Genomic DNA, 12,073 nt, shown 5'->3' on the forward strand with positions numbered 1-12,073 from the left:
AGAAAAACAAAACCAGTAGCCAAAATGAAATTAGCCTCTTAAGGTTTTACATTATTCCAGAGAAAATAAGAACATTTCCATGAGTTAAGCGAGTCATATTATTAGACTTGAGTGTTTCCACACAACACTCCTAATAATCTGTCCCTAATATGCAGTACAAGCTCCATTCTATCTGTGAACACACTGATTACACAAATTGGGTCATTCTTGTCACCTAAGTCAGAGTAAAGGGAGCACCAGGGGGAAAAGGCACTCAGGCCTCATAGCACCTGCTCCAAGATTTAAATTTTCCAAAAGCCCGGCTGCTGAGAGGGCCTGCTGTAACCCTAAGACCAGTTTTCCCCAGTAGCTGCCATGACTCTAAGTCTAGTTTTACCTACCATCGTCACTCACCAATCAGAGCCTGCCAGCTCCCAAAAGCTTCTCTAGTACCAGTGAGCTTTCTTTCAAAATAATACATAACATTTTTCTTTCCAATAAAATGGCCAATCTTCTCTTTGTTCTTCAGACATACAAAAGACCACTTAGCCTGTGTGTGTATGCCCCAAATTGCAATTCTTGTTTCCCAAAATAAAATTATTTATTTTGACTTCAACATAATAATGCTGCCTCCTAACAAACCACAACAATGATGTAACTACCAAAGTTAAGCTCTAAACACTGGGGCCTTATTAATGCTTATGTTCCCAACACCAGGTACAATGGCTGGCACTTAACAGCTGAACAAAATGCCATACTCAACCAGCAATTAGTTAAGTACTGACTATCTGCCTGATGACCAGGTTTTCAGAATCCAAAATGGATGTTTAAGAAAATGATTATCAACAATGTGGTGAAGGCAGGTATGAGATTCTGAAAGAACATAGAGAAAAAAGTACCGAACTCTGCATAAACTGGAGAAGGCTTCCCTGAAGGGATACTCATACCATGTGATAAAGCGCCACAGGCAGACAAGGTGATGATCAGACAAAACCACAGCAAATGCAACATTCCTTTACTCAAAAATTCATTTAGTCTCAACCAATATTCTGGGTTACTACACATTAGTAATCAGGCATTTATAACTGATTAGCTATCCATTTGCATTTTCTAATTGGGTCTCTCTAGTATAAATTATTAACTATTTGGTGGAATTAATATCTGAATTTTGCAGAAAGTCTACAGGAAGAAGACAGCTATGGTGGTGCTGTATATAACTGAAACGTGCATCAATTAGATAAACCTAGTGCTGAAGGAAACAGTCCTTCTTCCCTTCTTGTATTCCATCCACAACCTGTCCCCACTTGGAACACACTGCCCACCTTCTTCTATATCAAGATTAATACTATCACGTCCTTGCATCCCTGCTGGGCTCCATCAGTCACCACCAGAAACCTAAACCTCACAAGGGTATCCTTTACCTGTTTACTCCTTAGACTCATCCTCATATTGCCATGTATACTGCCCAGTCTTGCCCAATTCCCTCCCTACCACTCTCCTAAATTCTTCATTGTGCCCTCTGGAACTCCCAATCTGGGTCAGCCAAGTTCCTTCCATATTTTTAACCTTTCTTTTAACCACACCAAGTTCTGCCTCAATGAAAACATGGCTAATTCCCCTATACATCCTACAGATTGCAGATGACTTCTTTTACAGCTCACATGCCACAGGCCTAGAAGGTGAGAAACTGCTTCTTGCTCACACTGTCTGTCACCTACAGTCCTCTACTGCTCCTTCCTCCTTCAGCAACCCCACTACCTTTGAAGCTCAGGCCATCCAACTATACTACTAAAAATAGCCTTCTTGTTGCTACAGTCTACCACCTTCCTAATTCCCCTTTCCTTCAGTGAAAATTCTGTATCCTTCTTTTCCACCTCAGTGCCTGTATTCATGTTGATATCCCGTTGAACACTCTGGCCTCTCAGTTATGTGACCACCACACTACTCACCCATCCAAAATCTGAATTTCCAGCACAGTACTATTCTGCTCCTCTCTAACCGTCCCAGTTCAATTACTGTAGTGGTCCCATGGTAACAAATCTTTAACCTTTGGTTTCTCTAATTTTTTCTATCCTAAACGCTTTTTCCATTGCCTATCAGCCCACCTCTCATTTCTCATTCCTCTTTACCCAGCTTAGACTCCAGGGCTCACCACTGTCATCACTCCCTTGTCATGTCTTTCCTTTGCATGTCTTTCCTTTCTTCTTTCTCTCCATCCATACTTGAACCCCATCATGCCCATCTCCAAACCTGAGAAACTGAATACAAAGAGAAAAACTACAGCGGAGTTCACTAATTTCACTTTAATAGCTTGAAACTTCAAATGGGCAATCACTAGGGCCTGCTAATCTTTCCAATCCTTACTAGCAAGTTTCTTTTCCCACCATGAGAAAAAAAAAAAACAAAAAAAAAAACAAAGAAAGAAACTATTTCATACCTTCTGCTATCTCAAACCTCCTAACCAATAACCAAGTCTTCTCCCAGTCTCATCTTATACTTTGCCAAGAAAATAGAAGCCATTAGAGAAGAAAGCTTTTCCCAACACCAAATCTATAAGCCCAACACTGTATGGATGGGCACCTATCTTCTCTCCTGCTAAGATGGAAGAAGGATTAAAGGGCTCCCTCAAGCTCTGGATCCCAGTGTGTCTCTCACCTACTGATGACTTCACTCCTACCACTACCCTCTGTCTCTCCCCCGAGTCCAATTTCTCCCTCTGAATGGAATCATACCCATCAGCATAAAAATAAGCTTTATAATCTTGGTCCTCTCATCCACAAACCAAATAGAAATAGAACACTAACATGCCATTAAACAATGAAAACTTTAAGATACAGTAGCATTCCACGATACAACCATCAAAAGATATTTATGGGATATTCAGGTTTTAAGAACTTGGTTTTGTTAAGTTACCAATACAGAGAAAGTTAAGTTTGGCAGAGGTAGTTTATCCTGCTAACTAGAGGTTAAAAGTCCAACCATTCTAATGGTTCTACTAAATGGCCTTACCACTTTTGCTGTTTGGACAGGAAATAATTCACATATTACAAATCAACAATGTTTATAAATGGGTAACATACTTTCATTGTGGAAGAAAAAAATACTGGTTACCTTACAGTGTTTCAAAGCTTCTTTGTATTCTTTGTTTCTGATTGCATCTCTAGCACTTTTTAGAGCAGTCTTCACTTCCTTGCTGGACATTCTGTCAAGGCAGAAAGCCTGAGTAAATCTACAGTAATACCTACCCAATCGTAAATGTTCCAACAAACTTAGCCATCTGAAAAGGGACCCTGGAAAAGGAAAAGACTCCTTCTCTCTGGAACAGTCTTCCCTCTAGAATATACACAGTTTATTCCTTAACCTCTTCAGATCTGTACTCAAATGTCACTTCCTCAATGAAACCTTCCTTTGACATGCTATTTAACATTTTAATCTTGCCATCCCCCTACTCTCAACAACCCATTATTTCCGGAACCCCTTCCATTGCTTTATTTTTCTTGAAAGCATTTGTCACATTTAATATACTATATATTCTACTTATTTATCCTGTTTATTTTCTGGGTCCCAACCCCACAAGAAGCTAAGTTCCATGCAGGCAAGAATTTTTTTTTTCACTGCCGCATCCCCAGGACCTAGTATCTTAAATTATAGATGATCAATTAATAAGTGTTGAAATTGAGTTATATTTTATTTACATTCATTCTCTATATATTTTGGCTAAAATACAAATGATCTTGTTGATCAGGACTCAAAACACATACCAATCTCAATCCAACTCTCCCACTCTATACAAAGCTAGATCCAGTAGAATAAGCCCAAGTCACAGATAAAACACTAACACAAATAATTTCAGTGACTGTGATATGAAAGTTTAAGAAAGCATTGTTTTAATGCTAGTTTCTGTGAAACATAAATCAAGATATTAACTTTCTTCACAATAAGGATTACTGTAGGTTTATTACCTGTACTTTTTCTAAAGAAAAACAATGTTTAAACTTGAATGGAAGCAATGGATAATGCAAAAGGGTTGTATACTAATTTCAGCCATAAAAAGATATTTTAATTAGTAGAGAAAGTATTTCTTCATTTAGTCTTAAGATATATTAATTTTAAATAAATTAGCATATTTTAAGATTACACAACTTATTCTGGCTTACCTATAAACAAGTCTAATTCAATCATAATTCAATGTTGAAAAAAAGAAATATTTGTATTTTCTGTCAGCTCCTCTAATCTCATAGAAAGGTAAAACAAAGCTGGGGTAAATATTAAGTATTTATAGGCTTCAGATGCTCAAGGGAGTAAAATGTACCAAAAAGATGAATCACTGACATGGTACACTGACAGTCCTTTATATCCAAAGAAGAAGCTAACACAGAAGTATGAGACCAAAGAAGTTTGAGAAGTTAGATACATATTTTTTAATCTTTTTGACTTAAAAAATGTTAGGATTCAAAATAATAGAAAAATTAAGATACCATAAAATCAATTTATCTACAGCTAGAACCAGATTCCCTAAATAGGCAGATAAGTAACTTTTTTGCCTAGTTACAATAATTATATAATTTAAAGCACCATATTTCATATGTTCTTGCTTTAGAAACTACTACCTTATCTGAAATTATCTTGGTATATATTTATAGGTGAAAGCTTCAGAATGATTTTTTTGTAGTTTGCAAATCTTGATTGGAGTAGGTAACAAATTTCAATGCTGATTTCACAATTTTCTCAAACCAGTTTCCTTTGGTTAAAAAAAACCCTGCAGACTAAAAAGAAGAAAATAACATCAAGGATGATGACAACTGATCTAGATCAATAAAAAGAGACAAAAAGAGACACTCAAGTAAAAAAATCAAAAGATGTCCAAATTGAAAAGGAACAAAAACAGTCTCAAATTAAAAACAAACAAAAGACCACAACCATTACATAAGGAGGAAGTTCACCATCTCTTCTATCACCCAACATTCATGAGGGTATGTATACAAACAAGGCAGGACCAACCACTACTAAACTACATGCAGCCCCCAAGCTATTTGCTGTGCACGATATAAAAAATATATAAAGAATATAATCTAAATCAAGAGAAAGACTTAAGACATATAAGTCATTCAATAATCAAATGCTAAACTAAGGGTAATGAGTGGAAGTGCAATAGGAATTTAGAGAAGGAAAGGTGTGTGGTGTGATGTTATTAATGGCTTCTATTAATAGAAGATGACAAGACTTAAAAATGGAGTGAAGAAGGAAAATTGCTCTACTCAGAGGCAAATGCATTAGCAAAGTGACAGAAGTGGGAATGAGTTGTGGCAAGTATAGGAAACAGTGAGAAAGCCAGGCTGAATGGATCAGAAGGGACTTATTAAACAGAAGAAAATTAGGTTGGGTAGGTAAATAGAGCCTCAGATTACAGATCCTGAAAGTCAAACAGACAAGTGTGAAGTTAAATACAGCAGCAAATAGGAAGCCATTAGTAATTTTTAAGTAGGTTGTTTTTAAAGACCACTATATAGAAACAAACACCATTTTTCTCTTGGTAATCAATTCTAATATTAAATGTCCTTCAGTATCTGTATGTCTCCATATGTAATTACAATTCTTCATGCTACAATGGAACCCTCTATTCTCTTCCAATTCCTTCTTCATTTGATGCAACATTTAACACAATACGCTAGCACTGAGGTCCTCTCTCACTCATGCATACACACATATATGTACGTAAGTTTCAGAAGTTTAATTTGTAAAAAGACAAAATAATCTGCCCCTTTTCAACCCTAAAAACTACTACTTCCTTTTTTTTTAATTTTTATTTTTATTTTTGAGGGGAAAGGGAAACGTCCATTCACCAATTTTCTAAACAAACCCTTATTGAGATCCAACCATCTACTAGGTACCACTTAAACCCATTTTCCTTCCGAGGGTAAAAACCTACTACCCAAAATGATTCCACGTAACCCCATACTCCTCTATTTTGGATATTTCCCTTCATTGTAAGGATTTCTAACACGTCAAAGAAACATCTAGCTCTCTTGCAAGAGAGGGAGATGTCTTTAATATTCTTCCACAATATAACTCCCTATTAATTCTTTCCGCCTTATACCTCTCCTCCCACTATTCTCCTCAATCTCAACTGTCTTTTTTTAAATAAGAGTATTCATTTTGTACGTTTTCACTCAAGTTTTTCTACTACCAACCCAAAATATTTTTATCCAACATAAATCAAGAATAAAAAGTGGCAACAACTGCACTTAAAAAGAGTTAGAAAGTGACAGTCATGCCATAAAGGCAATGATATTCCTCAAGGACAACATATATAGGTATGATATATATGTCCCCAGTTGAGGCTATGAAACCTTAAATAATATTCCAATATGCTCATACAAAGATTCCACAAAGCTAAAACAACAATAATAATAAATAGTAATGATAATGACAACGGAAGCTAATTACAGAAAGGAAAAAAAACGATATCTTTAAATCTAATAACAAAAGGTATTTTGTAATGACCCATAGTCTGACATTAAAAAAAAAAAAAAAACTATGCCATTAAATCTTTCTTCTGAAAGGAATGAGTAAAAACAATCATTAAGTAAAAATAGATTCCAATTTATTATTTAGCATTGTAGACACTTACCTTTTACCAATTATTACCACCTCTATATTCTTCCCGAATTGAATTTGATTGTTCCTTACCCATTTTCCATCTAAATTAAACAAAAACAAGTATGAGACAATCATATAAAAAGGATGACACCCACAACCCAAAACCTTCTAAACTTTTTAACGCATCAATTTTCATAATTCATAATTTAAAACATGAGAAATAATTATGTATAATTTTTAGTATTTTTATTCTTTCCCAGAGAGACACTATTCTTAATCTCCAAACTTCTGAATTGGTCTAAACTATATTCCTGGGCCTCAGATGATAAAAGGAAACTTCTACAAGAGATCAGAAGGATTTTGAGAAACCATTTCAGAAACCCAAAATACACTGATGTCAATATAAAAAAATAGAGCCAAAGAAGAATATCTACTATTTCTGTGCCATTTTTGCTTTGAATCAAGGACATCTACAGACAACTAAGGGTACTTATTTACACCCAATTTGCAGCCTAATTATATTAGAATAGAACTTTTCTCTAAGGAACATAAGGAGTATAATATAATACAATTATATTAGTTTGTAATCTAATGAAAACAGAGAAATTTTTTTAATGTTAACAATGCATTTAAATAGTCATTAAAAATAGTAACACAACTACACATCTACAAATTCTAAGGATATTTTGATAGCATCCCTGAAGTGGCTTCTGTCAAACAAAAAACAATCTAGAATGGTCCCTGCAGAGAATGGAAGTGGTTTTGAAAAACTGAATAAAGTGAAAAAAAACATGCTACTTCAGAACTAGGAAGTAAACAATGTTTAGGTGAGGCAGGTAGGGATGAACAAGGAATGAAAAGTTTCCCTAACCAAAACACTCATTAGTGATCTACCGAAATAGAAGTGTCACTCCAACAGTAGAAAGTCTTACTGGTAAGAAAAGAAAGTATGGTAATCCAAACAATGTTTAGGAAAGTAAGATAATAGTTAAAAAAGAAAAAAAAGTACAAACTTGACTATTTCACTGGCTTCTTTAGCCCTGCTAACACTTGGCTGCCCTCCTCACCCAATCTAGTTTTATCACTCAGTCACTTCAACTCTGTTCTTACAAAGTACCCTAGATCCTGTCAGCCCCTTTACTCTGTCATATCCACCCACCAAGGCTTACCCTAGTTGAGAGTGAGCTTAGGAAATCAAATGGATCTAGGATCAAAGCCATTAGGCCTTGGGTACATGACTTCATTACTCAAAGCCCATTTCCTCACTGGTAAAGTAAGAATTACATCACTTACCTGATACACACATAGATGGAGTACTTGGACATAATCTATACTAATAATGTCCTATCTACTATTATTCTCTCAATCAACTTTGCTACTTGCCATTCCTAAAACAACTAGTGTGATAACTCAGTGTTAAAAATTTTCCCTACACATTCAAATCCCCAACCGTCCTGCAACCTCCTTCTTCCTTGCTCTCTCAAGAAGTAAACTTCTTACCTATACAAACGGCCCCTGACTTACAAATGGTTGAACTTACAATTTTTTGACTTTACGATGGGCTTATCAGCATATTAAATGCATTTTGACGTACAATATTTTCAAGTTAAAATGGGTTTATCATGGTGTAACCCACCATAAGAAGCATCTGTATTCCTCAAGACAGCTATCATCAAACATGAGTACCCTCTTCATATTAGTTACTACACTACATGAATACTAGAGTACAGCCTACAACAGGGATCACTCCCTCCTCCAAACCTCCAAACTGAGCTACTCAACTGCAACTTAACAAATATTATTTTTATTATCCTATATAGACATAATTCAATTATGTCTCCCAATTCAATAAATTCTTAGACGTAAGTCTTATATTTTCAGAGCTTCTTATATACCCAACACTTACTGGATAATACATATTCAATAAATAGCTAATGATCTTCCAGCTTCCAAGGCTTACCAGTGTTAACAAAAAAATGAGTGACTGAGGGAAGTGTCTCAATCAGTAGATGTTTATTGAGCCACACTTTGAGCACACGCCTGGGGAAAAACAAGCCACAGAAGCATCTGTGACCCACACTTTCCAAAGAGGGCTTTCGGAACTCAGTATTCTAGAGGAGAGCATGCAGGAGTGAAAAATGGCGGGAGGGAAGTAGGCAGTGAGGCAAATGGTTACATTCTCTTGAGTACCTTTTCTGATAGCATAGAATTACTGATTAGCAAAAATGTTGTACGTTCACAAAAGAGTAATCAAAACAATGAGGAAACCTGAAATTATGAGAACTAGCTGAAGAAACTGGGGACTAGGAAAAATAAATAAATGGTGGCGAGGGAGTTGGGGGAAGGACTGTTGAAAGGGAGAGATTATCCATGTAAAAGTGAAGAAAAATGCACTAATGAATGGTTAAAAATAGAGGAAGATTAACTTCAACTTAAAATAGGAACTTTTAATGAGACCTATATAAATGTGGAATGAGGTACTCAATGGAAGTGTTTCCCATCACTGGAGATGAAAAAGCACAGGCTGGACAATCCACTCAGCAGGAATGTTTTAGGATAAACTGAATGTCAGATGGGAAGTAGGACTAGAAGCCTCTTAGATTCTTCCAGCACAACGTCTCTAAGGCTCTAAAATATCTGTCTTGCTCCAAATCACTGCAGCACCTGCTCCTATTGACACTGCCAAGGGGAGAAAGAAGAAAAAGATGTATTCTTGTAAGCCTGTCATCAGAGTACATGTCCTGTGGAAACAAGGCTGTAGAGAGTAAGCACAGTTTATGGAATCAGACACAAAATTAAATATAACTTTTATGAATTTAAATGTCAGTCAATATTGTCACTATGGTAGAAAATACGTTCTACATTCCAAATTAACTCAAAACAAATTTGTTTTTATGAGAGAGCCCACTTGTATTACCTTCCGTGCTGTATTATTATTTCATGTATGCTTGGTTTTGCTTCCCTGAAATCTAAACTCATGTAAACTGAGACTATTGTTTAGGGGTTTTTTTGTTTTTGTTTTTTTTTTGAGATGGAGTTTTGCTCTTGTTGCCCAGGCGGAGTGCAAAGGTGCGATCTCAGCTCACTGCAACCTCCACCTCCTGGGTTCAAGTGATTCTCCTGCCTCAGCCTCCCTAGTAGCTGGGATTACAGGCGCCCGCCACCACGCCCAGTATTTTGCGTATTTTTCGTAGAGACGGGGTTTCACCATGCTGGCCAGGCTGGTCTCGAACCCCTAACCTTCGGTGATCCGCCCGTCTCGGCTTCCCAAAGTGCTGGGATTACAGGCGTGAGCCACCGCGCCCAACACTGTTTACGTTTTTGCATGCTCCCGCAGATCTTTATCATGCTGCTTGAGTAACAATTCTGCTACACTAACAGATAAACTAACTGCAGACAGAGCATTTAGTGAGTTACGGCACAGACTCTTCAATTTTCAGTCGTGCTCTGACTGGCTCCCTGTGTAAACTCAGGCCAGTCATTTAACCTCTCTAAGCCTGTTTTCCTATCTGCAATATGGTGAAAGTGAGGATTATAGAAAATATTCCATATAAAAGTACGTGGCACGCAGCAGATGCTCAGTAAATGCTTAGTATAACGCTCAGCACCTAAGTGCCATGTGAGTATTAAATAAACAAATCTGTTCCTTACTACAATTATCTTAGGCAAAAAAAAACCTGCCAGATATTAGTATTCAGTTGACTTAAGTAAGTAGTATAACTCCTCTTTTAACTGTCAGAATATTAAAACTACTAGTGTGATGTGCAAATTATATACCCGAAACTAGATACAGAAATTGGAATTTGGCTTTGGGACAGAAATCTGCTTCTTCCAGAACTCTCCAAAGGAATTCAACAGTCAAAAGAGACCGGTTTTTATTCTGCAGCAAAACAATGATATTCTGAACCTACGTCAACTAACTGAACATGTCACACAGCCCATTTCCCCCTCCAGTTTCGCTTATCTCCTTTGCTCTCTGAAGGCAAGGAACAGCTATGCTTTCCCCTGCCTACAGCCTGAAACTTCTTACTAGGCCCCGCTCCTCGCCCCATGGGAGCACAGTAAATCCTGACTGCACGGGGTAAGAGAAGCAATAAGATGAGACAGGCTAGAGATTTCCCTGGGAAGGTATTCGGGGGGGTCTAAGGCATTCACGGCGCACCTGAGGCGGTCCACCCAGAGGCCCCACAAGGCACCGCCCTATTCAACTTAAGTGACAGCCGCGCCGCCACCTCATCGCCGCCCAGTTCACGCTCTCGCCGAACACTCAGCCACGCTTGCGCGGCCCAAAATGAACAGCCCCGGCCCCGATCCTTTCTTTCTCTAAGTACCATTTCAATCGCCTTTAGGATCCCTTGTGCAAAACCGACAGAAATCCAAACCCACCTGGAGCAGATGCTCCTCTTCTACAAACGCCGAGGCTGCAATGAGAGCGCATGCGCCTTTCCCAGGACTCATTCACGTGACTGGAAGTGGCTGGGTTCTGATTTGCTCGGTATTTGATTAAAAGGTCTTAACGTGGGTAAAAGCGGGAATTTCTCTGTTGCGCATGTGCGCGCTCTCCGCCTGATAGGAGTTGTAGTTCTGCGGGTGAAGCTCGGCGTTACTATCAAGCAACCAAACTGCAAGCTTTGGGAGTTGTTCGCTGTCCCTGCCCTGCTCTGCTAGGGAGAGAACGCCAGAGGGAGGCGGCTGGCCCGGCGGCAGGCTCTCAGAACCGCTACCGGCGATGCTACTGCTGTGGGTGTCGGTGGTCGCAGCCTTGGCGCTGGCGGTACTGGCCCCCGGAGCAGGGGAGCAGAGGCGGAGAGCAGCCAAAGCGCCCAATGTGGTGCTGGTCGTGAGCGACTCCTTCGTAAGTACCGCGAGGCAGGGGAGGGGCGCCCCGCTGGGGATCGGCGACCTCACCGCCGCCGCCTGTGCTGCAGGCTTTGGGGAGCAGAACCTGAGACATTTTCAAACACCTTTTACCCCGATGCAAAGAAAGAAATACATTTTATGTGAGGCCCCGTGTACTCACACGTACACCACATACCTATGCAAACATGTAAAACAATAGTGAAACACTGAAAACATCTTTGCAGATCTTTTTTTTTTAATACTGACCTCGATTCGCTAAATTATTTTACCACGACTAATGAACTTTCAGTCCATACCCCCGTTTGGTTTAATTGTGTGGTAAAATAACATTCTGCATCTCCATAAAAGCGTGTTAGCTTTCCAAAAGTCATTTTCCAGTTCACCTCAAGTTTGCAGGAATTCATGTTTGGGTGAGAAGTGAAGAAAGTTTATTTTTATTACCCAGGTCTGTGATAATCCTGTTAGTGCTGATTCAAATGGAATCGTTGGTATAACTTGATTCACTCCCCCGTATTCCAGAGAAATTGTGTGTATGTGTGTGTGTTGGTAATGTGGCTGAATCCCAAACTTAAACAGTTTTTGAAACTTTCCCAAGCCAAAGGTGCTACTGTCAACCTTACGCGATGCTTTTAGG

General features: G+C 38.5%; 2 protein-coding genes across 4 annotated transcripts in view; one reads left to right on the plus strand and one right to left on the minus strand.

Annotated features, from left to right (window-relative positions):
- The window catches only part of SKIC3 (SKI3 subunit of superkiller complex), a 91,084-nt gene extending 80,077 nt beyond the window's left edge, over positions 1-11,007 (minus strand). For 2 of the 3 annotated variants that reach the window (NM_014639.4, XM_047417938.1), the window contains exons 1-4: positions 10,966-11,007; positions 6,611-6,680; positions 4,590-4,745; positions 3,091-3,181 (exon numbers count right to left, since the gene is read on the minus strand). In NM_014639.4, the coding sequence (NP_055454.1) occupies positions 3,091-3,180 (90 nt within the window). In that variant the 5' untranslated portion in view covers position 3,181; positions 4,590-4,745; positions 6,611-6,680; positions 10,966-11,007. Of the gene's footprint in view, positions 1-3,090; positions 3,182-4,589; positions 4,746-6,610; positions 6,681-9,036 lie in introns of all 3 variants that reach the window. The other variant, XM_047417937.1, reaches the window with a different exon arrangement.
- Positions 11,131-12,073, plus strand: part of ARSK (arylsulfatase family member K) — a 50,002-nt gene continuing 49,059 nt past the window's right edge. Inside the window, exon 1 of the mRNA NM_198150.3 lies at positions 11,131-11,434. Coding sequence (NP_937793.1) covers positions 11,309-11,434 — 126 coding nt within the window. The 5' untranslated portion in view covers positions 11,131-11,308. The remainder of the gene's footprint in view (positions 11,435-12,073) is intronic.

Source organism: Homo sapiens, chromosome 5, assembly GCF_000001405.40.
Source record: "Homo sapiens chromosome 5, GRCh38.p14 Primary Assembly".
NCBI classification, from domain to species: Eukaryota; Metazoa; Chordata; class Mammalia; order Primates; family Hominidae; genus Homo; species Homo sapiens.